The sequence below is a fragment of the Homo sapiens genome, chromosome 12 (assembly GCF_000001405.40).
Source record: "Homo sapiens chromosome 12, GRCh38.p14 Primary Assembly".
Lineage (NCBI taxonomy): Eukaryota > Metazoa > Chordata > Mammalia > Primates > Hominidae > Homo > Homo sapiens.
The window spans coordinates 74,021,990-74,049,987 of NC_000012.12; the positions used below are offsets into that span (position 1 = coordinate 74,021,990).

The 27,998-nt window shown below is 36.2% G+C and overlaps 1 long non-coding RNA gene across 2 annotated transcripts; it reads left to right on the top strand.

Moving 5' to 3' along the window:
- Positions 1-90: 90 nt before the first annotated feature.
- Positions 91-27,992, top strand: LINC02394 (long intergenic non-protein coding RNA 2394). 2 transcript variants are annotated; one of them, NR_187487.1, is made up of 3 exons: positions 91-254; positions 23,669-23,844; positions 26,504-27,992. It is a non-coding gene; the product is annotated as a long intergenic non-protein coding RNA 2394 (long non-coding RNA). The 2 variants fall into 2 exon arrangements; NR_187486.1 differs by lacking the exon at positions 91-254 and adding an exon at positions 17,204-17,468.
- The last annotated feature ends 6 nt before the right edge of the window (positions 27,993-27,998 follow it).

Sequence of the window (27,998 nt, forward strand, 5' to 3'; positions counted from 1 at the left end):
AGAGATCCTTGACGGCGTGACGTGTGCTGTCCCTAGACACTAGAGGGCGGTGCCGGTGTTGGCCGGAGATTAGCTCAAAGGCTAACGGGATGTGGCCCAGCCACAGCCTAAGCTCTTGGTCTTCTGAGAAGCAGCTGACAGAGGATAGCCCTGCCATGGCTTAAGCTTTCAAACTGCCTGTAAAATCTTGGGTTCTTATGAATTTTGGAGTCCAGTAGTTGAAGGTCAATAACTCACATACGGAGCCTGATAAGGTATGATGTAACATTCTCAAGGAGGGCGGAATTACACTCCAAATTTTTATCACAGCAAAACATATGTCACTCAAGTAGCAAACTATGTAAAAGTTTGGAATCATTTCAAATTTACATCACATTATATCTCTTCTAGAGATACAAGTCAGATTAATATGAGATCGTGAATTAAAAATTTGTTAAATATTTTTATTAGTAATATGTTAGATACACAGAACCAATTTAACATCTTTAAGGAAAGCCCTGTTAATTCAATTAAATACACTTAGGAAAAAATATGTATCTTAAGGAAAGCTTTTATAATATTAACCTGATAAAGTTTAAAAAATATTTAAACAGTTCATATCCAGGTTTAATATTTAGCAAAACATCAGTATTCTTTCAATGAGAAACAACTTTTACATTCAGTTTGTAAAGAATCAGTTTTTAACAAGCTGTCTTGGTCACCTGAATTAGTATTCTTTTATCAATGAATATATGTTTCAAAAATTTTATTACATGTAACACGCTAGTGGAAATATTAACGAATACAGCTTTTTTAACCACTTGCAATTTTTTTAGGATATTCAAAATTGAATTATTATGTAATAATGTATAAAGTTTTTAACATTAAGCATACTAATTTTCCAAGTGCTTTCCAAATAAAAAAAAGAATGCATTTATTTTGCTACAGCAGGAAGCAAAAAGGCTTGTGTTGCAGCATTCTTAGTTTTAACAATTTTTATTTTATTTCAACAAAGGTTTTTTTCCCAAGCATAAAGTAAAAATAGATACAGATAGATTGATAAAGATGATAATAGATAGATAGGTGATAGATAGATAGATGTAATATAACAAATGCTCAATTACTCATCAACCCAACTTAACAGTTTCTAAATTATTTCCTTAAATATTTTTTCCAAGTAGATGAGTGTGAACAGATATCTCTATTTTTAAAATGGCATTGAGGGTTCTTTGGTAAATCATTTTGGTTACATGTTTTGTAAATAACCTTTTTTAGCCTTTGTCTATTTGCTAATAATATATGATTTTCAAGTTTGATATATTAAAATGATATATGCTAATGCTAATTATATAATGTTATGTGTTTAATGAATGTTTTTAAATTTTTTGCTTAACTTTTCATTTTTTATCTGTATAGAATACACAATTATAACACAAATTTATTGTTTGTTATATATTATGCTTTCTGCATCTTGTAAATATTTCATATTTTTGTCATAAAAGTTTTAAATTTTGTAATTTTGCCTATCTAATCAGCTATTAATTTACGTTTATACTACGAGGTAGGAATCCTTCTATTTTTATTTTTTCAAAGGGGTATTTCTTGGGAGAAGCAGTCACTTGCACAGTCTTTCCTGTCCAATTGTATAAGAGTGTGCTTTGGGTTGGGAATATATCCTTACAAAGAAATTAAGAGCCTTCATAGCTTGTGCTTCGCCCATCTCTGTTTGGGAATTTCTTTATCTGTTCCAAATTTGTGTACCTTTTTGTTCTACTTAAGTGTGTGCATCAACTCCCGTACTATATGGGTTTCCATAGGGAGGGAATGGATGTCCTTTATCCGAATCACAAGAGGAATGTGTGCAGACCATCCCCTTGCATTGGCTGAGAGCCTGAAGCTCATTATTGAAGCTAACCTTTTCTGTTTCTACTCTATGTGAGCAAAACTTTGTTCCTTCCAATGCCAGTGTGAATTGTGTTTCCCTTGGCCAACCCAACACCTGAAAACCATGGAAGGGAGGCTGACTTCCTGAGACTACTGCTCCCGGCTATCAGCATTGTTATGCTATTTGACATCCTCTATGTGGTGAGACTCTTAACCTTGAGTTGGTAATAAGTATCACTTGCTCGGTAATATTTATTGATTCAAATTCTGTTTAGTGAATCAGTTATCTCTTCTTTGATTGAACTATTTCCAATATTGTCTAATAATATTCCAATAAGAGGTATAAAGAAACTTTATGCCTATATCTAGACTTTCCACTCTGCTCCATTGCTTTATCTGTTTATTTTGCAATGTAACAGCCATAATTGCTATAATTTTTAATTGTACTGATATTTTGTAGAATGAATTCCCTTATCTTAAGCTTTAAATCTAGTCTAAGGTAGACATGGAGATATTGGGACAGAAGAGATGTTGACTAACTTTATTTATTTTTACTATTTCTGCCTCTTGCTGGGCCTGTTGCTAGTATAAATGGAGTTTATAAACAAATTCCAAAATGTACCTTCTGTGATCATATTTATTACAAAATAGGCCCTTTAAAAACAAATTTCAATAATATAATTTTTCTGTGAAATAAGGCATTTCTGCCACATGTTGCAAAGGCTTGATACACAATCTTACTTGGAAGCACTGGACCTTACTCTTTCTTGTATTCTCTCGCACTCACTTTGCTATGCCTGACTATATAGAATTGGGTATGGAGGAGATGGAGGAAGAGGGGATGTAGGGGATGGAAAAACTCTGATTTGACCAATCTGATTCATGTAATCTGGTTCTGGATTTCTCTGGATGTGAATGGACAGAATCCATTTCTTGCAATCTGGTTCTGGATTTCTATGGATGTTAATCTCTTTTCTTAGCAGTGTATATTTTATGGGCTTTTCAAATTCACAACACAGGAACAGTTGACTCCCCAGGCCTGCTTTCTGTATCTTTCTACAGAATCACCTTTGTCCAGGTAGGAAATCTTAGGCAAAACCCCTTGATATGGTTTGGCTCTGTGTCCCACCCAAATCTCACCTTGAATTGTAATAACCCCCATGTGTCAAGGGTGGGACTAAGTGGAAGTAATTGGATCTTGGGGGCGGTTTCCCCCATGCTGTTCTCGTGATAATGATTCACTTTCATGAAATGTTGTGATTTTATAAGCTGGCATTTCCCCTGCTGGCACTCATTCTCTCTCCTACTGCCCTGTGAAGAAGTGCCTTCTGCCATGATTGTAAGTTTCCTGAGGCCTTCCCAGCCATGCGGAACTGTGAGTCAATTAAACCTCTTTTCTTATAAATTACTCAGTCTCGGGTATTTCTTCGTAGCAGCATAAGAATGAACTAATACACCCCTTCAAGATACTTGAGTCCAAACATTATCCAGGGACCCAATCAGTCATTTGGTAGATAGACTTCCCACAGTGTGTCTGAAAGCACAGAGTGCTTTGATTAGTACTCTGAAACAGTCTTCTTACTGGCTAAAGCTAAGGGTGTAAGAAAAACCTTTGCCTGAAAAGCATCCTACTCTCTGTCAGTGTTTATTTTAAGAACTCACTCACTGAGTTTGTGATAATGGTGAGGACCACCAATATTCTAAGCCGTGAGGATACTGGAGGGTAAGAGAAAGAGTTACCCCATACTCCAGCAACTCCCTTCAAAGAAATACCTTTTTAAAATATCTCCCTTAGACCGGCGCGGTGGCTCATTCCTGTAATCCCAGCACTTTGGGAGGCCGAGGCAGGCGGATCGCAAGGTCAGGAGATCGAGACCATCCTGGCTAACACAGTGAAACCCTGTCTCTACTAAAAATACAAAAAATTAGCCAGGCGTGGTGGTGGGCGCCTGTAGTCCCAGCTACTCGGGAGGCTGAGACAGGAAAATGGCGTGAACCCAGGAGGCGGAGCTTGCAGTGAGCCGAGATGGTGACACTGCACTACAGCCTGGGCGACTATATATATATATATATATTTTTTTTTTTTTTTCTCTAGTGGAAAAGTTTGTTCTCCATCTACTCAATGTATCCATCACTAGCCACACATAGCTATTGAGAACTTGAAATGTGGCTCATATGACTGAAGAACAGACTCATACATTTTCATAAATGTACTTTTTAAAAAAATCATTAATTTTAAAATTAAATTTACTAAAAATGAAGACCTAGAGTTCTTTTTGGGTCTAGGAGACCTAAATTTCATTTGTATGATATAAATAAATTGTCTTATATCTTGTTTTGTGAGAGAACTTAGAAAATATTATCTTCTTTTGGGCTCTAGGTGAAATGTTAAATAGAAGAAGTCCTGCTAATATCCACTCCCAATTCTTACTACATGATTTTCTGGATTTAATTTAGATAGTAATATTTTTATCTGTTTTTACATTAATGTGTTGATAGATATGGGTAAATTTTCTAAAATAAGCCATGCATGGATTCTAGGATGAACTCTATTTGTTAATGTTTCAATATTTTAACACACTGCTAAATGTGATTTACTTAGGATTTTTGAATATATGTTCATGAGGAAGAATAATTTATTATTTTATTTTTTGTACTATTTTTGATTACCTTAGAATTAAAAATATACAGATGTCATTTAATGATTTGGGGAGATATTTCTGTCATCCTTAGAGGACTGATTTAAAATGTGCATTATTTCTTCTTTGAAGGTTTGATAAAATCATGTGCTCTTGATTTGATTTGCCAGAAAGAGGTTTAGACATTTGCTTGACTAATTGGTTTAACAATTACTGTTCATTTAGATGTTTATATTTCTTAGTCAATTCTATTAAATTATAGTTTTTAAGAAAACCATTCATTGACATTAAATAGTACATATTTTTTCCTTTTAATTCCTCCATCTGTATGCTTAAGATCATGCACCTATTTACAATTACATCATTGTTAATAATGATAATGCTTTGCAATCACAAGGACTAATTCCAGAAATCCTGTGATGCCTAAAGTGTATTCGACAAAAAATTATTCTTCTCACGTTTTCCACCCCGTATTATCTTTTTTTGCTAGTGATTGAAGAGTATTCACATTAAAACTTGAATTAAACAAAAAATAAGTGGCAATAGAAGACCCTTTTGAATGGCAGCCTTATATTTCTCTTGAATTCCTGAACTGTAAGTTATAATTTGAAAAATGGACACTAACGAAAAGGCCATAAGACAGTATTTATGAAGTTTAAGCACCAACTTGGAGACAATCACATCTCTTTTGATCCTGATTCTAATATTTTATCTTTTAAGTTTAAAGCATATACATTACTCTCTAAAGCTGGTATATTTATCATTTCACTGGAATTTGTGTATTATATTCTAAATTGTATGTCCTTATGATTGGATATGCTTTCGTTTTCCAATATTTCTGTCAATGGCATTTCTTACCTATACAATATTAAACATAGTCAGTTTTTATTTTAGAAACTATTATTATATATGTCAGTCCGTGAAAGAAAAATAAGATATGGACTCTTCCCGTACTAATCTTATAGCTATTATTTTAATAGTATTATCTACCAAACAAAACTGTGTAATTACATTATGACTTTCTCTATTTGAATTTTGGAGATATTGTACTTAGTACAATTTCCTAAATTGTCATGCTTAAAGTATATATTTTCATATTTAGAGAGATGTGTGTATATGTAAACACATCCATATATGAACCCATATCATACTAATATAGTAAGTTTTTTGTGATTGAGTGATCCTTGTTTTAACAAAGACTTGATTATTTAGTACATTTTTGATATATTAAAGCTATTTATCAATTTTTCTATGCCATGAATGTAAGATAGCAGGTATTTTACACACTACCAAAGGAAAAATAGATTTAAAATAATTTAATTATGGCCTTAGATTAGATTTTAACATCTTTACGTCCACGTGGACTATGTATTAGAGTAAGACTGTCAGTCTAGAAACAGCATGAAGGACATGTATGGAAGAAAATAAAGATCACATTCGTGATGTCCTAATTATAATTTTAGTAATTTCTGAGGAATGTTTTTCATGATTTTGTAGTTTCTCAGCAAAAGGCCTTTGAATAATTAGAGATACATGTATCTCTCCATCAATGGCCCACGAGTTGCTTCAGTTCAGACTCAATGGTCTCAAAAATGCTATCCTCCAGAATCTAGATTTTCCCAAGATGCAGGTGTCATTCATAGGCTTTGAATGATGAAATGCCTTTGTATCTAAGATTTTACACATGAAAGGACAGAGAGATTTATGGTTCAGATAATAATAGTTAATATTTATGACATGCTTGCTTTATACTAAAGGACCTTAGTTCTTTAGATATAATAATTGTTTCAATTACATAGCAACCAAATGATGCCAGGAATTATTGTTATCATCTCTGAAAAGAACAAGGTTGTAATAAGTGATAAACCCAAGATCATCTATTCAGACTGAGGAAGAACTCAGGTTTGAATCTAGGCAGTCTGGCTCCGGAGGGTAGTTATCAGGTGTGATTCTGCTCTTTAACTGCTGTGCAAAGACCAGTCAGATGAATAACACAAGTAAGCTTTAAAAATAGTCTCCAGTATATATGTATGGCCTACAATCTTGTATTCATGTAATAATTTTGTCCTTTATAAGACATACTGCTGTGACAAAAAGGTACCTGCAGTTTTCAATGCTTATAATTTGATATCATTGTTTATTAAATATCTGTTGAGCAGCTCATCAAAAATTAATCACTGTGTAAGGTACAATGCAATATAAAACAGATGTATTTCTGAAGTTTCTGATCGAGGTAAGTTGAGATAGTAAACCACAAATTATAGAATCAAGCATCTATGAAAGGCAGAAACAATGACTGCTAGATGACCCAAAAGATATGTAGGATGACCACTGAGCAAGACTGGTCAAGAAGTGTTTCCAGGAGTTGCTGAGATTTTACTTGACATATGGGGCAACTGCCTTTGTCTCTGACTCACAAATACAAATTCCTTATGGAGCAGCCACTATATTCTTTATCCCCAACTGTCCCCATGACTCTCCAAATGTATGGTGCAGCTAAAGTTAAATTCTAGAATTAAGTACTGTATTCAACTTTGCTTCCTAGAGTTGACTGATCCTCTTACATGAATTCTCCTCTTTCTATTATGGTTACCTATTTAAGCCATAGTTGAACTTGTTATAGTTTATATTGCATGTACCTAGTTTACACTGCTAATTTCTCTGATATTTTTTTCCTCTTCATCCTTAGCAGTTATTATTTTAAATAACATTCCTGCACCACCCAAGTAGTCAAAAGACAAACCAAAGTCAGTTTCCTCTCCCCAACACCTGTTGCCTTTTTGCATTGGTCACAAGGTGTTGGGCTATCTCTGATTTATGCCCATAATACTTGGATATTGCTTTTATTTTGAAATTATTCTGCTCTACATAAGGTCTCTGGACTCCACTGCTGACAACTTAGTCCAGAAGCATGTGAGAATGTAGGTCATCTAAGCTTCCTAACTCATTTTTATTGGATAATTTTCTTCTGTGATGTTTTAGGTGTTGTTCCTCCATGTAAGAGCAGTATGTGTTATGGTTGGTTTCCATAAAAACTTCAGTTGTGGTCTTTTCCAGGAATTCAACTGATGGAAAACCAACAAAGAAAAGATCAAAGTAAAATATTTAGTATAAGCCCTTTAAATCACTGAATTATTTATAAAATTTTCCAACTCAAGGCATAAGCCAAATTGATGTCATCCTTCATATTCTATTTTTAATTGTACAGGATGTAGTCTAGAAGATATACCTTTAGGCATTAATGATTATTTTTCTGATCTTGTATAGTCTTTCAGCAACAGTTGAGCACTTTAGATGAGGTTCTGGAATATATCAAAATGCCAACCAGACAAATACTAACTATCCTATTAAATTATGTAGAATGTTAACAGAGTTACAATATATAGAGGAGAATATTGTATGGCAAAAGTCATCACCAGATACAAAAATTATCTGAATCGGTTATCTATTCTCTTTTCCACCTATATCTACCTTAGATCAAAACAGTGTTAAATGCCAATCCAACTTTGATGTTTAACTTAGTGGCTACTTGATCTCCCTACAGAAGAAAATATTAGCAATCTTTTATATATATATATATATATTTGTCATCTTTACTCATTTGAAATCCTCACTTTTTTATATGAATAGTAATAATGCAATCTACATATGAGCTGGTGGTCTATGCCTCTTGAAACCTGGTTAAAATGAATATAAGCTTTCAATTCTGAGACCTGGGCCTTTTCTGCTGGCTCCATTAGTCTACATGCTCCTTCCACTCCTTCCTCATCTTCTTATTCTCAGATTGGGTAGCACCAGATTCTTTTTCCTCCTCTCAGTAGAGAGAGAGTGAGAAAGAGAGAGAGAGAATCCATCCTACTCAGCTCCTATTTGAATATTTGCATATTAAATATACTAAGTGGTTCAAGAAAAAAATTGTTTTATCTACCTGCAACCACCTTCTTAATGGCAGATGTTATTTAGAATTTGGCAGATCACAACAAAATGAAAAGGATGTAGGCTGAAGGAAACGTGACCTCTTTTATAAGATTTTTGTGTGTTGATACACATTTTTTAACCAATGTGTGCGTGTGCATGCAAATACACATCAAATGTCACACCTTTTGCAACCATAAGGAACATATATGTTTTGGGAGGCTTAGCTAAGAATGAGTTAATTGGTCAGATTACAACCCTCATATGGTAGCAATTCCTAAACCTCAGTTTCTGAGGTTATTATTAATAGAAAGTAAACTTACTCTCTACGCCACTTGGAATCTACTAGCATGGAGCATTTTTGGGAGGAAAAAAATAACAGAAGAATTAGCAGATACCTACCTGTGTTATCAAATGCATAGGAATTTGAGACATGCAAAGGCCATTTGAAAAAGCAGTTTATAATTAATTTGTTAATTAATTTAATGTGAATCAAGACATTCTTAGATTGGACAAAGTTTTGGTAAAGGAAAAGTTTTGGTGCCTTAGAGAAGTGATACCCAAAGTGCAGTTTCTACTCCTGAAGGTACATGAAAATATTATATCTGATCAATTTCTGTGTCTATTTTTTGTGTAGAGTATATTAGTACAGTTGTATGAGCACAAAATTGTAAACAACGTGCATGTATTAGGGAAATGGGCTTAAATTTTATTGTATTGTTATACAGCATATAGGAGAAAAATAATTGAGGTTGCTGGTTGAAAGATGTTATGCATTGCTAAGCATAAATGCAGGTCCCTAACCACGTTAAAAGCTCTAAATTGATTGTTCTTAACATAGCTGTCAACTTGACATGAAAAATGGTCTTCAATTTGGAGGAGATAAAAAGCATGAGTGACTTGCTATTCTCAGTGAAAGTATAAATTTATCATATTGTTCTAGATGAGCAATAAATAAATAAATGTTTCCATTTAATATGCTTTTTTTTTAGATGGAGTCTTGCTCTGTCACCCAGGCTGGAGTGCAGTGGCTTGATCTCGACTCACTGCAAACTCTGCATCCCGGGTTCAAGTGATTCTCCCTCCTCAGCCTCCTGAGTAGCTGGGATTACAGGCACATGCCACCACATCTGGCTAACTTTTTTCTATTTTTGCTAGAGATGGGTTGTCACCATGTTGGCCAGGCTGGTCTTGAACTCCCGACCTCAAGTGATCCACCCATCTTAACCTCCCAAATTTCTGGGATTACAGGCATGAACCACTGCTCCTGGCTTAATATACTTTATCTTAAAATATGATTCTTTCATACTTTATGCAAGATTTTTGTGGTAATATGCACACATATACACACATGTCACAAAATGAAAGATTCTTTCACAAAAGAAATGGCTATGGTACAAATATCCATTAAGTATTCTACACTGTAAAATGGGAAGTCAATTTTTATGTAGAGTACATTTTACCAACTAAACCTTTGTGAAATAAGAATTACAGAGAGAAGTTCACTGTATACTATAGTGAAAAATATATAGTCATATTTAGTATAGTTACCATTTTGAAAATGCTTTGACTTTTTTGAAGCACTTGAGCAACAAATGACTCTTAAAATCTTATACAACAAACAATATTATCCCCTACATTTTTGCTTCTACATTTGCACTTCTCAATAATATTTAATATTCTGCACCGTTTTGAAGATTTTTACCTGTAGCCCAAAAAGCCACTTTTTTGAATTTATAACACTTTAAAATAAAATGCATAAAACACTATTTTCAACAAGTTTATATGATAGGTATTACATATGAATTATATTGAGATCTATGCAAATATATTGGAATAATTATTTCCACTATATATTTATATGTACTATTATTTTTTTAAGTTTTGTAATAAAATGGAAAATGTTCTTCCTTTGTTATGGCAATGTTATTTTATAGATGTAACTATATGTTTACAAAGCAAAAAAAGGTGAGCTATGGTAAAAACTTGTTTTATATAACATTTGAAGTTTTGATAACAATAGATTTCAAATAAAAACCAAGAATATACTTTATTTAATGTCTTGAAGAATTTGTAGTACTTTTAGTTTTATTTTAGAGACAGATTTTGTTACTAGTTTTACTAAGAACAATGTGTTCTCAATGAAGAGGCTCCCCGTATTAAAACTGTTCCCTAGGAATATTTTAGAATATTTTAGAAAATTAAATTTTACTTATATGCCATTAAGGTACAGATATAGCCTCACATTTAAAAATTTCAAATACGTGAAAATCTTCTGTATAAATTTAGAATATTAAATATAACTGAATACAAAGGTTAATCATTCACTGTACTTATCTTTTAAAAGGATGATTCAGCTGACAGAGTTCCTTTTTTTAAAAAAAAATAAAATTTTAATTTATACAAACTTTTAAAAAATAGGCCTGTTAAGAAATGGGAAGTACACCTGAATCAATAATAAATTAAATTACTGTTTTAAGCACTTAATCATATCCCAGAGGCCTGAAACTACTAATGCTGTTTTCACAAAAATCTAATATATTCTAAAGAGAGTAGTTTCTTCACTATGAATCTCAAATTCATTTTGTGTAATTATCCCATTGATATTTGACAGTGTGTTTGGAGATATATTTATATTTGAATGTCTTTCTCTTTTATTCATTATGAGCCTTTTGAAGGTAAAATATATACCTTCTTTATGTTGTGGAAGATAAGATTGATCTCTACGGCATTATTGAATTGTTGATAATAATGTTAAACACACCCACCTATATACCTCCAAGAATGATTTGGCGATTAATGAGGTATATTTAAATCATTTGAGATTCAGAAACATAAGACTTCATACTATTATTTTTTTAATCCAGGCATTCTAATGTAGCCTCATAAGCATTTTACGAGATTTATTGGCCAAGAAAATTGCCTGAGTAAAATATAAAGAGTATTTCAATATTTCGAATATTGAGCATACTCAGAAACTTTCTTTGAGTCTAGGTTCACTAAAGTAATAGACGCACGGAGATAATTATATTGTAGGAAGCCCTCATTTTAGAGATGAAGAAACAAAACAAAAAAGGAAAGTGTCTTACTCAAGGTTGATAGCAAGTTTCTCAGTTATTCCTCCCCCTTCCATAAGATCAAGCAGGCAGACTCCTCTGCTTTTTACATTTTCCTCAATTGACAAGGTCTATTCACTGTTGAAAAGCTCTTACATTAAAACAATCTTTGCAATTCCTTTTTATTTGTCACTCAATTGATTGCCTTTAATTAACCCACTGCCTTATCAGAGAGAGGTGTGAAAATTGCTCTTTGCTCTTCTCAGCTTCTGTCAGGTTACTGAGCAGCGTCCTGTCTGGTTGGCACTGCAGTGCAAACTGAAAATGCCCATCACTAAAATTTCTCTTACGTGCTGAACTAAAACCTCAAACAGCTGACAGCATTTTGCCTCTCTAAGGTCTCCCATCTCAGAGTTTCGTTATTTAACTCTATTTTTGCTTGGTGTGAACTTGTTCTTCATCCAGACTAAATGGTGGTCTTGAAAGAAGGGGTCTACATCCAATGGAAAGTGTGACAAAATTCACTAAGTTATTGGAATAAAAGTTATAATTCTATTTATATTTATTAAAATTTAGAAAGAAACAAGATTTTACTAATGTTTTGTAAATGGATTGACCCTTACATCTACATTAATCCATGTATGAGGTAGTCAGTTTTTATTCACAATTTAGAAAATACAGAGGCAAGAATAGGATTTGAACAAAAGGGATGAAAAATTGCATTCTCGTTCATATGTAGCTTTCAGCATATTGCAAGTTAACCATTTAGGTGAATATGATTTATCCTAGTGGAGTATTTAAAATATTTAATACTGAAGTAGGGAGTGAGCAAGAAAATTGTTTATTTTTTGTTGACTGGTTGTTTGTTTTGCTGGTCAGAGACTTATTGTTTATCTCATGTGTAAGTACTTAAAAAGATATAGTCTATTTATTTATTTATTTATTTTTGAGATGGAGTCTTGCTCTGTCACACAGTTGGAGTGCAGTGGCACAATCTCTGCTCCTGCAACCGCTGCCTCCTTGGTTCAAGAGATTCTCTTGCCTCAGCCTCCCGAGTAGCTGGGTTACAGATGCGCGCTATCATGCCCAGACAATTTTTAGTAGAGATGGGGTTTTACCATATTGGCCAGGCTGGTCTTGAACTCCTGACCTCATGATTCACCTGCTGTGGCCTCCCAAAGTGCTAGGATTACAGGCATGAGCCACCACGCCCTGCCAAAAAGATATAGTCTAAAATCAACACGAGTTCCATCAACTTCTGTGCCCAGGGAGATGCAGCATGTACTCATTTTTCTATTCCTTCCACAAAGTATAACTAAAACTGTGGACATTATATTTAAAAAAGAAAAGAAAAGAGGTGTCTGAAAAGTTAAAAGAAGAAAGACTAGCTAGGGACATCAGGACTCAGATTGTTGCCTCTCCAGAGGCAATTGCCAGGCAAGATAATGTTGATTCTCCTCAGAAACCACCCTCAATACCCCTGTTTGCTTCTAGACCTGTAACTAAAGTCCTGGCAGGCTCCTAGAACTGAGGTTCAGAGTGACTGTGTGACCCATGAGGAGATGCACTAAACTTGAAAAAAACTGCGTGAGTTTTCTAATTTATATAAATAGAAATCTGGAGAACAGGCATGGGAATAGACATTAAGGGCATGGGATAATTGTGGAAGTAACATAGAGTTGGATCAGGCTGAATTTATTTATTTGGGCCCACTAAGTAGGGATTCTGCATTTAATGTTGCAGCTCGGGGAGTTAAAAAAAAATTCTAATAGTTTATTTGCTTGGTTAGCTGAAATATGGAATTAAAGATGGCCCACTGTGAATGAGCTGGAAATGCCTGGTCTCTCCTGATTTAATGTAGAGGAAGGGATTCTAAGTCTTAGGGAGATTGCGATGCTGGAGTGGATTAGTCATTTTATACCTATTTATTCTAGCTAGGGGGTTCTAGAAGATATACCCTTGACCAATGCTTTGCAAACCTGAATTTTTGAAGAGCACTATAATTGCTCTTCTCTGTGTGTCAGATCTAACAGTAGGTACCACAGTCATTCAATTAAAAAATGTAAATACAATGGGAATAATTGGATCTCAAGGTGGCAGGGGCCAAGTGGGAGCACTAAACGATCAAAGGCAAGGTGGGTGTAGCTACCGTAATGGACAGCAAAGGCAAAGCAGCAATTAGAATAGTCTGACTCATGTGGAGTTCTGGCATTGGCTAATTAATCACATTGTTTCTAGAAGTGAAATTGATAGGAAGCCTACTGCATTCCTACTTAATTTATATGAGCAGAAAACTTCCAGATTGAATGGACAAAAGACTAATTTGAATTATAAAAACAGAATCACAGTCCCTCAATCAATTTCCAGACTTGAGCCAGTTTACAGACCCAGAACCCCTTGAAAGAAGGGGAGGCTGGGTCCCTTGTGGAAGGACCCCACTAAACTACTGACAAATTATGCTGTTAATCTTTCTCCCATTCTTCCCCAAGGAGATCTCTGGCCCTTTACCAGGGTAACTGTGCATTGGGGAAAGGGAAATTATCAGACATTTCAGAGACTATTGGACACTATCTCTGAGCTGACGTTGATTCCAGGGGACCCAAAACATCATTGTGGTCCTTCAGTTAAAGTAGGTTAGGGAGGTCAGGTAATTAATAGAGTTTTAGCTCAGGGCCAACTTACAGTGGGTCCCTGGACTCATGCAGTTGTCATTTCCCCAGTGCCGGAATGCATAATGGGCACAGACATACTTAGCAGCTGGCAGAACCTCCACATTGGCTCCCTGACTGGTAGGGTGAGGGCTATTATGATGGGAATGGCCAAATGGAAGCCATTAGAGCTGCCTCTACCCAGAAAAAGGGTAAATCGAAAACAATGTTGCATCCCTGGAGGGATTGCAGAGATTGGTGCCACCAGCAAGACCTTGGATGACACAGGGGTGGTGATTCCACCACATCCTCATTTAACTCTCCCATCTGGGCTGTGCAGAAGACACCTGGATCTTGAAGAATGACAGTGGATTATCACAAGCTTAACCAAGTGGTGACTCCAATTACAGCTGATGTACCAGATGCGGTTTCATTGCTTGAGCAAATTAACACATCTCCTGGTACCTGGTATGCAGCCATTGACTTGGCAAGTGACTTTTTCTTTATTCCTGTCCATAAGACCCACCAGAAACAATCTACCTTCAGCTGGCAAGTCCAGCAATATATCTTTACTGTGCTACCTTAAGGGGTATATCAACTCTCCTACTTTGTGTCATAATCTTTTTGAGAGAGACTCTGATCGCTTTTTACTTTTGCAAGATATCACACTGGTCCATTACATTGATTACATTATGCTGATTGGATCCAGTGAGTAAGAAGTAGCAACACATTAAACTTATTGGTGAGACATTTCCTGGCCATAGGATGGGAAATAAATCTGACTAAAATTCAGGAAACTTCTCTCAGTAAAATTTCTAGGAGTCCAGGGATGTGGAGCCTTTGAGATATTCCTTCTAAGGTGAAAGATAAGTTGCTGCATTTCGACCCTCCTTCAACCAAGAAAGAGGCACAGCGCTTAGTGGGCCTATTTGGATTTTGGAGGCAACGCATTCCTCATTTGGGTGTGTTACTTTTTCCCATTTATCAAGTGACCTGAAAGGGTGCTGGTTTTGAGTGGGGTCCAGAACAGAAGAAGGCTCTGCAATAGGTCCAGGCTGCTGTGCAAGCTGCTCTGCCACTTGGGCCATATGACCCAGCAGATCCAATGGTGCTTGTGGTGTCAGTGGCAGATAAGGATGCTGTTTGGATCCTTTGGCAGGAACCCCATAGGTGAATCACAGCAGAGGCTGCTGGGATTTTGGAGCAAGGCCCTGCTATCTTCTGCAGATAACTACTCTCCTTTTGAGAGACAGCTGTTGGCCTGTTACTGGGCTTTGGTGAAAACTGAACATTTGACTATGGGTCATCAAGTCACCATGTGATCTGAACTGCCTATCATGAACCGGGTGCTTTCTGACCCATCTAGCCACACAGTGGGTCGTGCACAACAGTATTCCATCTTCAAAGGGAAGTGGCATATACGTGATCGGGCTCAAGCAGGTCCTGAAGGCAAAGTAAGTTACATGAGGAAGTGGTTCAAAGGCCTATGGTCTCTACTCCTGCCACCCACCCTTCTCTCCCCCAGCCCGCGCCTATGGCCTCATGAGGAGTTCCCTGTTATCATTTGAAGAGGAAGAGAAGACTAGGTCCTGGTTCACAGATGGTTCTGCATGATATGCAGGTACCACCCAAAATTGGACAGATGCAGCACTGCAGCCCCTTTCTAGGACAACCCTGAGGACAGCAGTGAAGGGAAATCTTCCCAGAATTTCTAGTAGTGCATCTGGTTGTGCACTTTGTATGGAAGGAGAAATGGCCAGATGTGTGATTATATAGATTCATGGGCTGTAGCCAATGGTTTGGCTGGATGGTCAGGGACTTGGAAGAAGAATGATTGAAAAATTGGTGACAAAGAAATCTGGGGAAAAGGTATGTGGATGTACCTCTCCGACTGGTCAAAAACTGTGAAGATATTGTATTTCATGTGAGTGCTCACCAAAGGGGGACCTCAGCAGAGAAGGATTTTAATAATCAAACGAATAGGATGACCCATTCTGTGGACGCCACTCAACCTCTTTTTCCCAGCCACCCCATCGTTGTTCAATGATCCCCTGAACAAAGTGGCCATGGCAGCAGGGATGGAGGTTACACATGGGCTCAGCAAGAGGGACTTCCACTCACCAAGGCTGACCTGTCTATGGCCACTGCTGAGTGCCCAATTTGCCAGCAGCAGAGATCAACAGTGAGCCCTCAACATGGCACCATTCCTTGGGGTGATCAGGCAGCTACCTGGTGGCAGATTGATTATATGAGACCTCTTCCATCATGGAAAGGACAGAGGTTTGTCCTCACTACAATAGACACTTACTCCAGCTATGGGTTTGCCTATGCTACATGCAATGCTTCTACCAAGACTACCATCCGTGGACTCATGGAATGTCTTATCCACTATCACGGTATTCCACACAGCATTGCCTCTGACCAAGGCACTCACTTTACGGCTAAAGAAGTGTAGCAGTAAGCTCAGGCTAATGTAATTCACTGGTCTGATCATGTTCCCTAACATCCTGAAGCAGCTGGATTGATAGAATGGTGGATTGGCCTTTTTGTTTGTTTGTTTGGTTATTGTTGTTGTTGTTGTTGTTGTTTTGAGACAGAGTCTTGCTTTGTCACCCAGGCTGGAGTGCAGTGGTGTGATCTCGGCTCACTGCAACCTCCACCTCCTGGGTTCAAGTGGTTCTCCTGTCTCAGCCTCCCAAATAGCTGGGATTACAGGTGTATGCCACCAGGCGTGGCTAATTTTTGCTTGTCTGATTTTTGTATTTTTAGTAGAGACAGGGTTTCGCCATGTTGGCCAGGCTGGTCTTGAACTGCTGACCTCAGGTGATCTACCTGCCTTGGCCTCCCAAAGTGCTAGGATTACAGGTGTGAGCCACTGTACCCGGCCTGGAATGGCCTTTTGAAGTCACAATTACAGTGCCAACTAGGTGACAATACTCTGCAGGGCTGGGGCAAAGTTCTCCAGAGGGCTGTGTATGCTCTGAATCAGCCTCCAATACATGATACTGTTTCTCCCATAGCCAGGATTTACAGGTCCAGTAATCGAGGGGTGGAAGTGGAAGCGGCACCACTCACTATCACCCCTAGTGATCTACTAGCAAAATTTTTGCTTCCTGTTCCCATGACATTACATTCTGCTGGCTTAGAGGTCTTAGTTCCAGAAGGAGGAGTGCTGCCACCAGGAGACACAACAACAATGCCATAAAACTAGAAGTTAAGATTGCCATCTGGACACTTTGGGCTCCTCCTACCTTTAAGTCAACAGGCTAAGAAGAGTGTTACAGTGTTGGCTGGGGTGACTGGCCCAGACTATCAAGATGAAATCAGTCTACTACTCCACAATGGAGGTAAGGAAGAGTATGCATGTAATACAGGAGATCCATTAGGGTGTCTCTTAGTATTACCATGTCCTATGATTAAGGTCAATGGGAAACTACAACAGCCCAATCCAGGCAGGACTACAAATGGCCCAGACCCTTGAGGAATGAAAGTTTGGATCTCTCCAACAGGAAAAAAAAAAAAAAAAAAAAAACACCTGCTGAGGTGCTTGCTGAAGGCAAAGGGCATACAGAATGGTTAGTAGAAGAAGGTAGTCATCAATACCAGTTACGACCACATGACCAGTTGCAGAAATGAGGACTGTAATTGTCATTAGTATTTCCTCCTTCTTTTGTTAAAAGCATGTTTGTGCATGTATACACTTTTACTTAGAAAGTATCCTTATTTTATTTCCGTTTTCCTTTATCATGTGACATAAGATTTGTCGACTTCATATCATGATTTAAGTATTGCTAACTTTATGTAATACCATTTGGATCGGGGATTGGTGCACTTCCAGTTGTATAAATGATAACTTTATTGTCTTAGGCGTAATTATGACTTTATTATTGTTCTTATTTGAAGATTCTGTGTGATCTTAGGAGATGTGTGTGAGTTCAAGTTGACAAGGGGGGGACTTGTGATGGTTAATACTGTGTGTCAACTTGATTGGGTTGAAGAATGCAAAACATTGATCCTGGATGTGTCTGTGAGAGTGTTGCCAAAGGAGGTTAACATTTGAGTCAGTAGGCTGGGGAAGGAAGACCTACGCATAACCTGGGTAGGCACCATCTTATCAGCTGCCAGTGTACGTAAAGCAGGCAGAAAAATGTGAAAAGACAACACTGGCTTAGCCTCTCAGCCTACATCTTTCTCCTGTGCTGGATGCTTCCTGCCCTCGAACATCTGACTTGAAGTTCTTTAGGTTTGAGACTTGGACTGGCTTCCCTGCTCCTCAGCTTGTGGACGGCCTATTGTGGGACCTTGTGACTGTGTGAATTAATACTACTTAATAAACTCTCCTTTATAAAATCTATCCTATTAGCTCTGTACTTCTAGAGAATCCTAACAAATACAGGGGTAAAAAGCCCAGAGACAAGAAAAAGGGCAGTCTAGCAAGACGGAATACTTTTAGACAATAACTCCTCTAATCCACGCAAATACCACAGAGAAAACAGTGTCCAGCTCTCACTCACACCAGCAATGGTCAAGCAGTGAGCTCAGGCTTTCACACTTGTTAGGCTGTTGTATGGCACCAGGGTGGTAGCAGGGAAGACCAAGTGGGAGCCTGAGACATTTTTCCCAGCTGGGGGGTAATGAAGACACCCACTACTTTCTCTTTTACCTCTACTGTGTTGGTGGAGACTGCTGAGGAGCCAGGACAACAAATACACTCAGAGGTAACTGAAGTGGTACCTTATAGACAAAATAAAGATTAAGTACTTTCACCACCATCCAATAGTAAAGAGGCCACTCTCCATCTGGCATCAGTGGAGGTCACATAAGTAAGGAGGCACTTTTACCTCTCCCAGCCATGGTGGTGCCAGCAGAGTTCCACAGAGGAGCTGCAACTCTCTCATCACTACCAAGCAGGAACAAGGAGCCCCTCATCACCTGATCTCAGTGGAGGTCAAGTGGGGAAACAGGACTTCTGCCACCACCTGGAAATCACAAGACACCTCCAACACTGGAGTGTTGTCAGAGACAGTTTTAAAGAAGACCCATATTCATATCACATAATACTCAAAATGTCCATGTTTCAATCAAAAGTCTCACTTCATTCCAAGCACCAGGAAAACCTCAGTTTGAATAAAAAATAGACAATCATCAAACTCCTACAATGAGATGACAGAGATAATTATTTGATGAATTTTTAAAAGCAATCATCTTAAAAATGTTTTCATGAGCTTTTACAAACATATTTGAAACAAATAAAAATTATAAAGTCTCAACAAAGAAATATAAAATATAAAGGATAGACAAATGGACATTATCAAAGTAAAAAATACAATTATGGAAATAGGTAATTCAATGAATGGGCTAAACAGCAGAATAATAGAATGGGCAGAGAAGAGAGTCACTGAACTTGAAAATAGAATAATGGAAATTATCCAATATGAACAACAGAAAGAAAATAGTATTTCTCTTAATAGTATTTCCTTTCCTTTAGAAAATAGTATTCTAGGTCAGGCCTGATGCCTCATGGCTATAGTCCTAGCATTTTGGGAGGCCGACGCAGGTAGATCACTTGAGGTCAGGAGTTTGAGACCAGCCTGGCCAACATGGTGAAACCCCATCTCTACCAAAACATACAAAAATTAGCCAGGCATGGTGGCACACACCTGTAATCCTAGCTACTCTGGTGGCTGAGGCAGGAGACTCACTTAAATCTGGGAGGCAGAGGCTACAGTGAGCCAAGACTGTACCACTGCACTTCAGAGAAAAAAGAAAGAGAAAAAAAGAAAGAACGAAGAAAGGAAAGAAAGAAAGAAAGAAAGAGAGAAAGAAAGAAAAGAGAAAGCAAGCAAGCAAGCAAGCAAGCAAGAAAGAAAGTTATGTGATTATGTTAATTTACATTATGAACCAGACACTGTTTTAAGCACTTGGACCCAGTGACAAATAAGACAAGCTACCTGCCCCCAAGAATCACAAACAGCAATCAAGTTTTTTCTAGAATTATGTAAGTTATGTAACAGAGCACAGAGGTTGAGAAGGGAGAGAGAGAAAGGAGTAGAGGAGGGGTTGCTGAGAAAGGGGAGAGAATATGGAGAGAATGGAGAATAAGGAGAGGGAACATTCTTCACACTTACATTGAAAATCAGGTCAGTACAGACTGTGGATCTGAGTAGAGGACAGCTAGGGCTTAAGGAGTTTGGGTGGCTTTCAGAACATCTAGTAGGAATTATATAGTAAGTACTATGCTTTGAGGCTAATTAAATATTTTGTTACTCATTAAACTTCCTCTCATGCCTAGAATTAATATCTTTTTCTGGTTCTGTAAGTGCAGAATTTTATAAATATACATGTTCTATTTTTATATATAATACAGTATACATGCATATATGTGAATATATGTGTGTGTGTGTATGTGTAATTTCACTATCCTTCTGAAAGAAGAAAAGTTTCCCTCTTTCTTATTTATCTATTTGTTGTTTATTTATCTATTTGTTATCTGTGTGGACTTGAGGATTCTGTGTGATCTGGCCAATTTTAACCAGCTGATAAAATTTATCACCAATAAGCAACAAACATAATATAACAAAAGAACAGAATATCATTTATGTAGCATTCTAAACAAAAAAAACTGGCTCTATTTTGTTTCCAAAAAAGTCAAAAGTATGAAATATGAAGTAAGATTTAAAGGAATTATTCTAGGGAAAACAAAGAAGATTGAATAAAAATGAAAACTAAATGCAGTAATAATCCTGGATAGCCTGTGGAAGGAATACAAACCCAAGAAGGAGTAAAGCTTTCTGGCCTTGGAAATTAGAAACTTATGGTGGAAATTAAGGTTGTAAAGAACTGGAGAGAAAATCAGCAGCTGAAAAGAAGCCAGCAGAAAACTACCTACCAAACAGGAAAACAAATCTGTTGCTTAAACTTTTCTATATTTCTATATTTCATAACAAATTTCAAATATTAAGAGTACTTTTCCCAGAGCATCTAAAAGTAGCCACTCTGTCATTCACTCTCATCTTCATAATTTAATTATCTACAAATCCCTTGACATGATATATATTTGTTTTTATCCTTTATATGATCAGAGAACTTTGGTTTACTTCTAGATCTTTAAGTTTTAATAGGGTGTTTAGCACAAAAAAAGGTCCTCTGTGTAAATAAATTACCCCTTTCTAGCAATGAGGTAAAGAGAATTTGTTTCAAGTCTACTGCCCTCTCACATTTTCCTCTAGTCACTATTTGTTTCACCGAGAAACATTTTTTAGGGAGGACCAGTTATTCCACATATTTTCTATGTTTACATAGAGAACTGTATAGTAACAGTTCATGCCTCTTTCATCAAAACCTTACTCACTCACCCCCAGGGAAGAAGACTTCTCTGACTGGTAAATTTGTAAAAGAAAGTGAGCACACATGACTCAGCTACTCCTGGACTTCCTGGAAGGATCTGCCTCTCTCTAGATCGGATTAATGCTTACGTGATACTTCATGATATAATATCAGCCATGTTTTCTAACTCTGCCAGTGACTCACTTATTTGCTGTGTCTCATTAGAGGTGTAGTAGCCCATATTGCTGTAGTAGCCCATATTGCCAAACAGTTATTAGCAATAGAGTTAAAAGATTCTGAACCACATACGCTTAATTCCTGTGTTTACGTCTCAGTTAGCTCTGGAGTCGAATGGGAAGAGAGAGGCTATTTATTTGATCCCTTAAAACCGTCACAACTAAAAATCTTAAGAAACCAACATTTGTAGATACTGCCTTTTTTTCCCCATAAAGATTGAAGATGTGACAGGTTATTCTTCCCTGCAGAAATATAGCCTTTTATTTCTCTTGCCATCAGGAAAATGCACAAGGATTGTATATTAGTCCATTTTCACGCTGCTGATAAAGACATACCAGGGACTAGGAAGAAAAATAGGTTTAATAGGCTCACAGTTCCACATGGCTGGGGAGGCCTCACAATCATGGTGGAAGACAAAAGGCACTTCTTACATGGTGGTGGCAAGAGAGAGTGAGAATGAGAGAGAAGGAAAAGCGGAAACCCCTCATAAAACCATCAGATCTCGTGAGACTTATTCACTACCATGAGAACAGTATGGGAGAAACCGCCCCCATGATTCAATTTTCTCCCACCAGCTCCCTTCCCACAACAGATGGGAATTATGGGAGTACAATTCGAGATGACCTTTGGGTGGGGACACAGAGCCAAATCATATCAGATTGCATCAGACAAAATTTAAAAGTGTATATACATCAGGAATATCTTAGGACTGAAAAGAAATCATAAAAATATAAACCCACTCACAGGGCACAACAGTCCCCAGTTTGTTAATTTCTTTTTGAGGGTATCTTTTCTCTAAGAAAATAAATTTAAAAATGAATGAAGAACATTACCAATCTCAAATCATCCCCAGCTATAATGTCCTTATTTAGGCATTTGATCATGTATTTCCACTATTACACATAGCTCTTTCAAAAATACATGTTGAAAAATATTTAGAAGATATTTCAAAAATATTTAGAAATATTTATAACAATATTTGGAAGAAAACTATTTAAAAGAACTAATTATCAGAGAAATGCAAATTGAAACTACAATGAGATACCACCTTACTCCTGCAAGAATTGCCATAATTAAGTCAAAACATAATAGATGTCAGTGTGGATGTGGTGAAAAGGGAACACATTTATACGTAGGTGGGAATGTAAACTAGTATTACTTTTGCACCAACCCAATACAACCATGTGGAAAACAGTATGGAGATTCCTTAAACAACTAAAAGGAGAACTACTCTTTCATCCAGCAATCCCACTAATGGGTATCTGCCTAGAGGAAAAGAAGTCATTATATGAAGAAGACACATGCACACAAATGTTTACAGCAGCACAATTAGCAACTGTCAAAATATGAAACCAACCTGAGTGCCCATCAACCAATGAGTGGATAAAGAAAATGTGGTATATATACACCATGGAATACAACTCAGCCATAAAAAGGAATGAAATAATGGCATTCACAGAAACCTGGATGGAGTTGCAGACCATTATTCTAAGTAAGGTAACTCAAGAATGGAAAACCAAATATGATATGTTCTTACTTATATGTGGGGGCTAAGCTATGAGGATGCAAAGGCATATGAATAATGCAATGGATTTTGTGGTGAAAGGTTAGGAGGGGGCTGAGGAATAAAGGACCAAATATTGGGTACAGTGTACACTGCTCGGGTAATAGTTGCAACAAAATCTCAGAAATCATGACTAAAGAACGAATCCATGTAACCGAAAACCACCTATACCCCCAAAACTATTTAAATAAAATAAAAAAAATTTAAAAAAAAAAAAAACAAGACAAAAAAGCAATTTGGAGGGAAGGGATGTAAAAATATCAGACTTTCCTCAATGTTTCATGTCTCTGTTTCGCTCATATGGTCCAATCAATAAAATGAGAATTTTCTCTTTTCCTTCTTTTCTAAACCAGAGACTTTGCTAGTTTTTAAAAATTGTATGTAGAGTATATTAATAGTACTTTTGCCTTTTTAAACCAGTTGCTGAATGATAAGCAATAATGGAAGGAAACTATGAAAATCACACTAGAGTGTCAATGAAAATCATCTACAGTTGATGGTATCTAAAAGCGATATGACACTTCTGAAATGGCCTTGTGACATCATCTCTGAATAGAGAAGTTGAATGAAATAAGTTTGCAAGCACATTCTGTAAGGTGAGAGCACTTTAAAAATAGTTTTAAAAAATTATATTACTGAAAAAGTAAGGAGGTAAAATATTTTGAGAGTCAATGTCCAGTACATGACATAGTGGTTATTGGTGGCTTATATCATACTACATTGTGATATCAAAACAAAGGAACAAAAAGTAAACTTAATTTTTTTAACATTTTTTAACCATCAAAACAGAATATCAGCAAATTTTTATAAACTCTCCCATTAAACAACGTTTAATCCTCATACTACAGATTATTTTTATATCCAATATTGCTAGGCAAATTTGTAATTTATTTATCAGGTCAAAAAGTTTATAGTCTGCTCTGTATAAAACAACTTAGTTCTTCATGAATGCTTTTTGTGTCAGAATTCTGTTAATGTACTTTTATATGTCATTTTTTATCATTAAAATACTTTTGCATTATTTTTGCAAAAAAAAAATTGTTTCTCAAATTGCTTTCTGAGTGTTATTTCCAGTTCATGCTAATGTGCACAGCCTACGGAGGACAGGCAAAATGACAAGTGATGACGTTGCAGCTGCTAAAAGGGTACTTGTACTAAGAAAATATTTTTATCACATAATTATCCACTGAGCCAAATTACAAATACATACCATTTATACTTTAAAGTTTAAAGTTACTTTTCCATTAAAAGGAACACTATCATTTTATGTTAATTATAATGAGAAGTAATGTGCCCATAAAAATTTGTATCTGATAAGAAAAATTTGTATCTGAATACAGAGATAGGAAGAGAGTTTAAAAGGGCAACAAAATTGCTAAATTATTTACTTATAGGACTTCATAGTTAAGAAGATGAAAAAGAAGTAAAGAAAGAAAACAAGAAAATGGAGAAAACAAAATAATCTTAATTTCTAAACTAATTAAACATGCATTTAAGCATGGCAAAATATAGCATTTGAAAGTAATTTATTAGTGTTTTGTGGGTTTCACCGAAAGTCTTTTCACTTTAGCTACAAAACAGAACATCACCACATTTCTCCAGTTATATGAGTTTCACCTTCCAATGTAATTTTGAAACATCTGAATTTTAGCTTTAAGCAATCTACTTGACTGTTTGATTGCACTTTTCATTATACTGTTCCAAGCCAAGACTTCTCACAAGTTGCAGAACATTCTAGTGGATTTCCTTCACAATTTATATGATTGAATTTCAAGTATCGATTCAAAACTGATAGTTCCATATAATTGTTGCCAGGAATTTTGTGAAAGAGAGGTCAATTTTTAGGCCTATTTGCATGTCCACAACAATAAGAAAAAAATGTAAGCACTGACTTCTTAAATTGTATGTTGTGTGACACTGCTTTTGACTATTGCACTGGTTAAGGGTGGGGTGACCTTATTGTACTGTTCATTGTCATGCACATTGTGGAGGTATCAATAGTACATCAGTCATGGCGTTTGTATTTTCAGATGGCACTTAATTAATTTCTTTGCTCACACATTTCAATAGTTTCCACCTATTCCCTTAAACTATGGTTTTTAACAAACTGTCTATCTTCCTCATTAAGCATATTGACATGACAAAATTAGTATAATGCACTGAGAAGAGCACAACATCATCTTTGTTGTATTCTTGCCACAAAGGCATGGCCTCATTCTAATTATCAGAAAATATTGTACAACCGCAAATTGAGGAACAAAATTAACTGATCAAAAATAAAAAGAACTGATCAACACTCTTTAAAAGCATTAATCAAGTTCAGGAAAGACAAGGAACTCCCACATACTGAAGGAGAATAGTGATAAATAACTAAAGGCAATGTGGGATTCTGGATAGGATCCTCAAATAGAAAAAGGGATATTTATGGAAAAATTGGTGAAATTTGATAAAGGTTTTCAGTTTAATTAATGATATTGTAGCAATGTTAATTTTCTGCTCTTGATAATTGCACTATGGTTGTAAAATTTGTCAGCAAAGAAGGAAATATGTTGAGGAATATAGGGGAACTCGTGTACAATCACTGCAATTTCTCTGTAGGTTTATAATTAGCCCAGAATTTTTAAATGGTTTAATATCATAAAAAGTTTATTTTACTCTACAATAATCATCAATGAATGATATAAAATGACACAGACCAGAATTTTTATTTTTAAAAATTCATAATATTGTAATACAAGAAAGTAAAATATAGCTAGAATTTCTGAAATAAAGGTATTTTTTATACATATACAGCATATATAAATAATAAATTACAGCAGGAAGGTAAACTTATCTCTGGGAGTCAATGTGTGTGAGTAGACAGGCTTCCACCTGCCAATTTACCTTGTGCTCTGCAGCAGGAGCATTACCTATGCAGGCTAGTGACAGCGATTCGTTTTGCTTTGTTGTAATAGTGAGCTCTGTTGACCCTAACCCCAGGTGCGTGGTTGTCTCAAGCTGACACAGGTGAAGGCTACGAGTTTCTTTAAAATAGAAATGGATACAGTTCACTGAACACAAATCTCTGCATTAGGCAAGTTATACAGCAGTCTCAGTCTGAATGGAGTTGCCAAAACCTCCAAGAACCAAAGAGGTGGCATGCTGCTGATGCCGCCAACTGAGAGGTTGAAGGTAGAGGTGCATAGCGATAAGTATCTCTTAGTTCCTTCCAGAATATCCTTTTACATTCTCACATGGATTTTTATTCCTTTCCAGAACTTCTCCAGAGACATGGGCTTTAGGTATGTCTGCCCAGGAGTGCCAGTTACCAGTAAGAGTTTCAGTTCATGTTTATTCTGCAAAACTGGGTGAAGAAAAGTTCATTTATCAGAAATACTTTCTCCATAGAAGGTCTAAACTTTCGACCAGACTGAAGTCTATTCATGTAATCAACTGTCTTTAATATTCAATGTTCTTACTACAACAGCTGGGCAGGATTGTCTTTCCCTCCCTGAACATTTCTTCCCTCTTTGTCAGAAAACAAATGAATGTCCTCAGTATTATCAGAGTAAGTCCTTTATCTACCCAAGGGTGCCAGGATATTTTATCAAGTAAACAAATTAAAATATTTCACTTTCATTTGCCAACTGAATGATTCCCGCTCCTTTGTCCACCAATCCCCACCTCACTTATTAATGTTCACTGAGCAATAAGGCACCACTTGATTTGTTGATTCTAGGACAATAATAAGTGAATAATAGAGCACCACTTGATTTGCTCATTTTAGGACAATAACAATTCAAGATCATCTTAATCCAAAGGTTCCCAAATGTTACTGTACTTAGAACTACCTGGGGAATTTATAAAACCCCGATGTCTATGCTGCACTGCATAACAACTAAATCAGAATATTTGGAGGTGAAAAACAGGCATCAATCATTTAGAGCAACATTACAAACAAATAAAAATGTTCAAAATTTTTTTCTATTAAACACTTATGAATTCTGAATAAAATGAAATAAATGCTGTTCAAAAGGTTTTGCTGAGCTTACAACAAATTAAGGCAAATCATTGGTTTTGAGGTGATCCACAAAACCAATAATCATATAAAAATGCTCAAACTCTTTAGTAATTAGGAAAATGCAAATTAAAGCAATAATTACCTGCAATTTTACACCCGTTACATTGGCAAAAATTTTTAAAAATAACAATAACTAATGGCAAGATATGGGGCAAAGGGAACTCTTATTCACTGCTGACAGATTTTAAATAGGCACAGCCCCTTTGGAGAGCAATTTTATACTCTCTAGTGAAGTGGAAGATGCACATATATTATAACTCAGCAATTACACTTCCCCTGTGGCCGTATGTGTCCAGGGAGAGGAGCACAAGAATGTTCATTATAGCGTTGTTTGTAATATTGAAAAATTGAAGGCTGCTTGAATTTGCATTGAAGATGTTGTATTATTCACTCATAGAGCAAATTATAGGCACTAAAATGAAGGAACAAGAGCTGCTTATATTAATGTGGATAATTATTGAAAATATTGTAAAAATAAATTTCAAAATGATCTTAAAATATATTATCTTTAATACAATGTTAATACATGCAACGTAAATTACATGCTGCTGGGAGGTAACTACATACAAGATAACGTGTTAAAATGTGCATAAGAATTTAAGTGCCAAGTTCAGGTTAAAGGTTACCTCTGAATAGAGACAATGGAGATGAGATATGGCCAGAATAAATTGGAGGCTTTGATTGTATTTT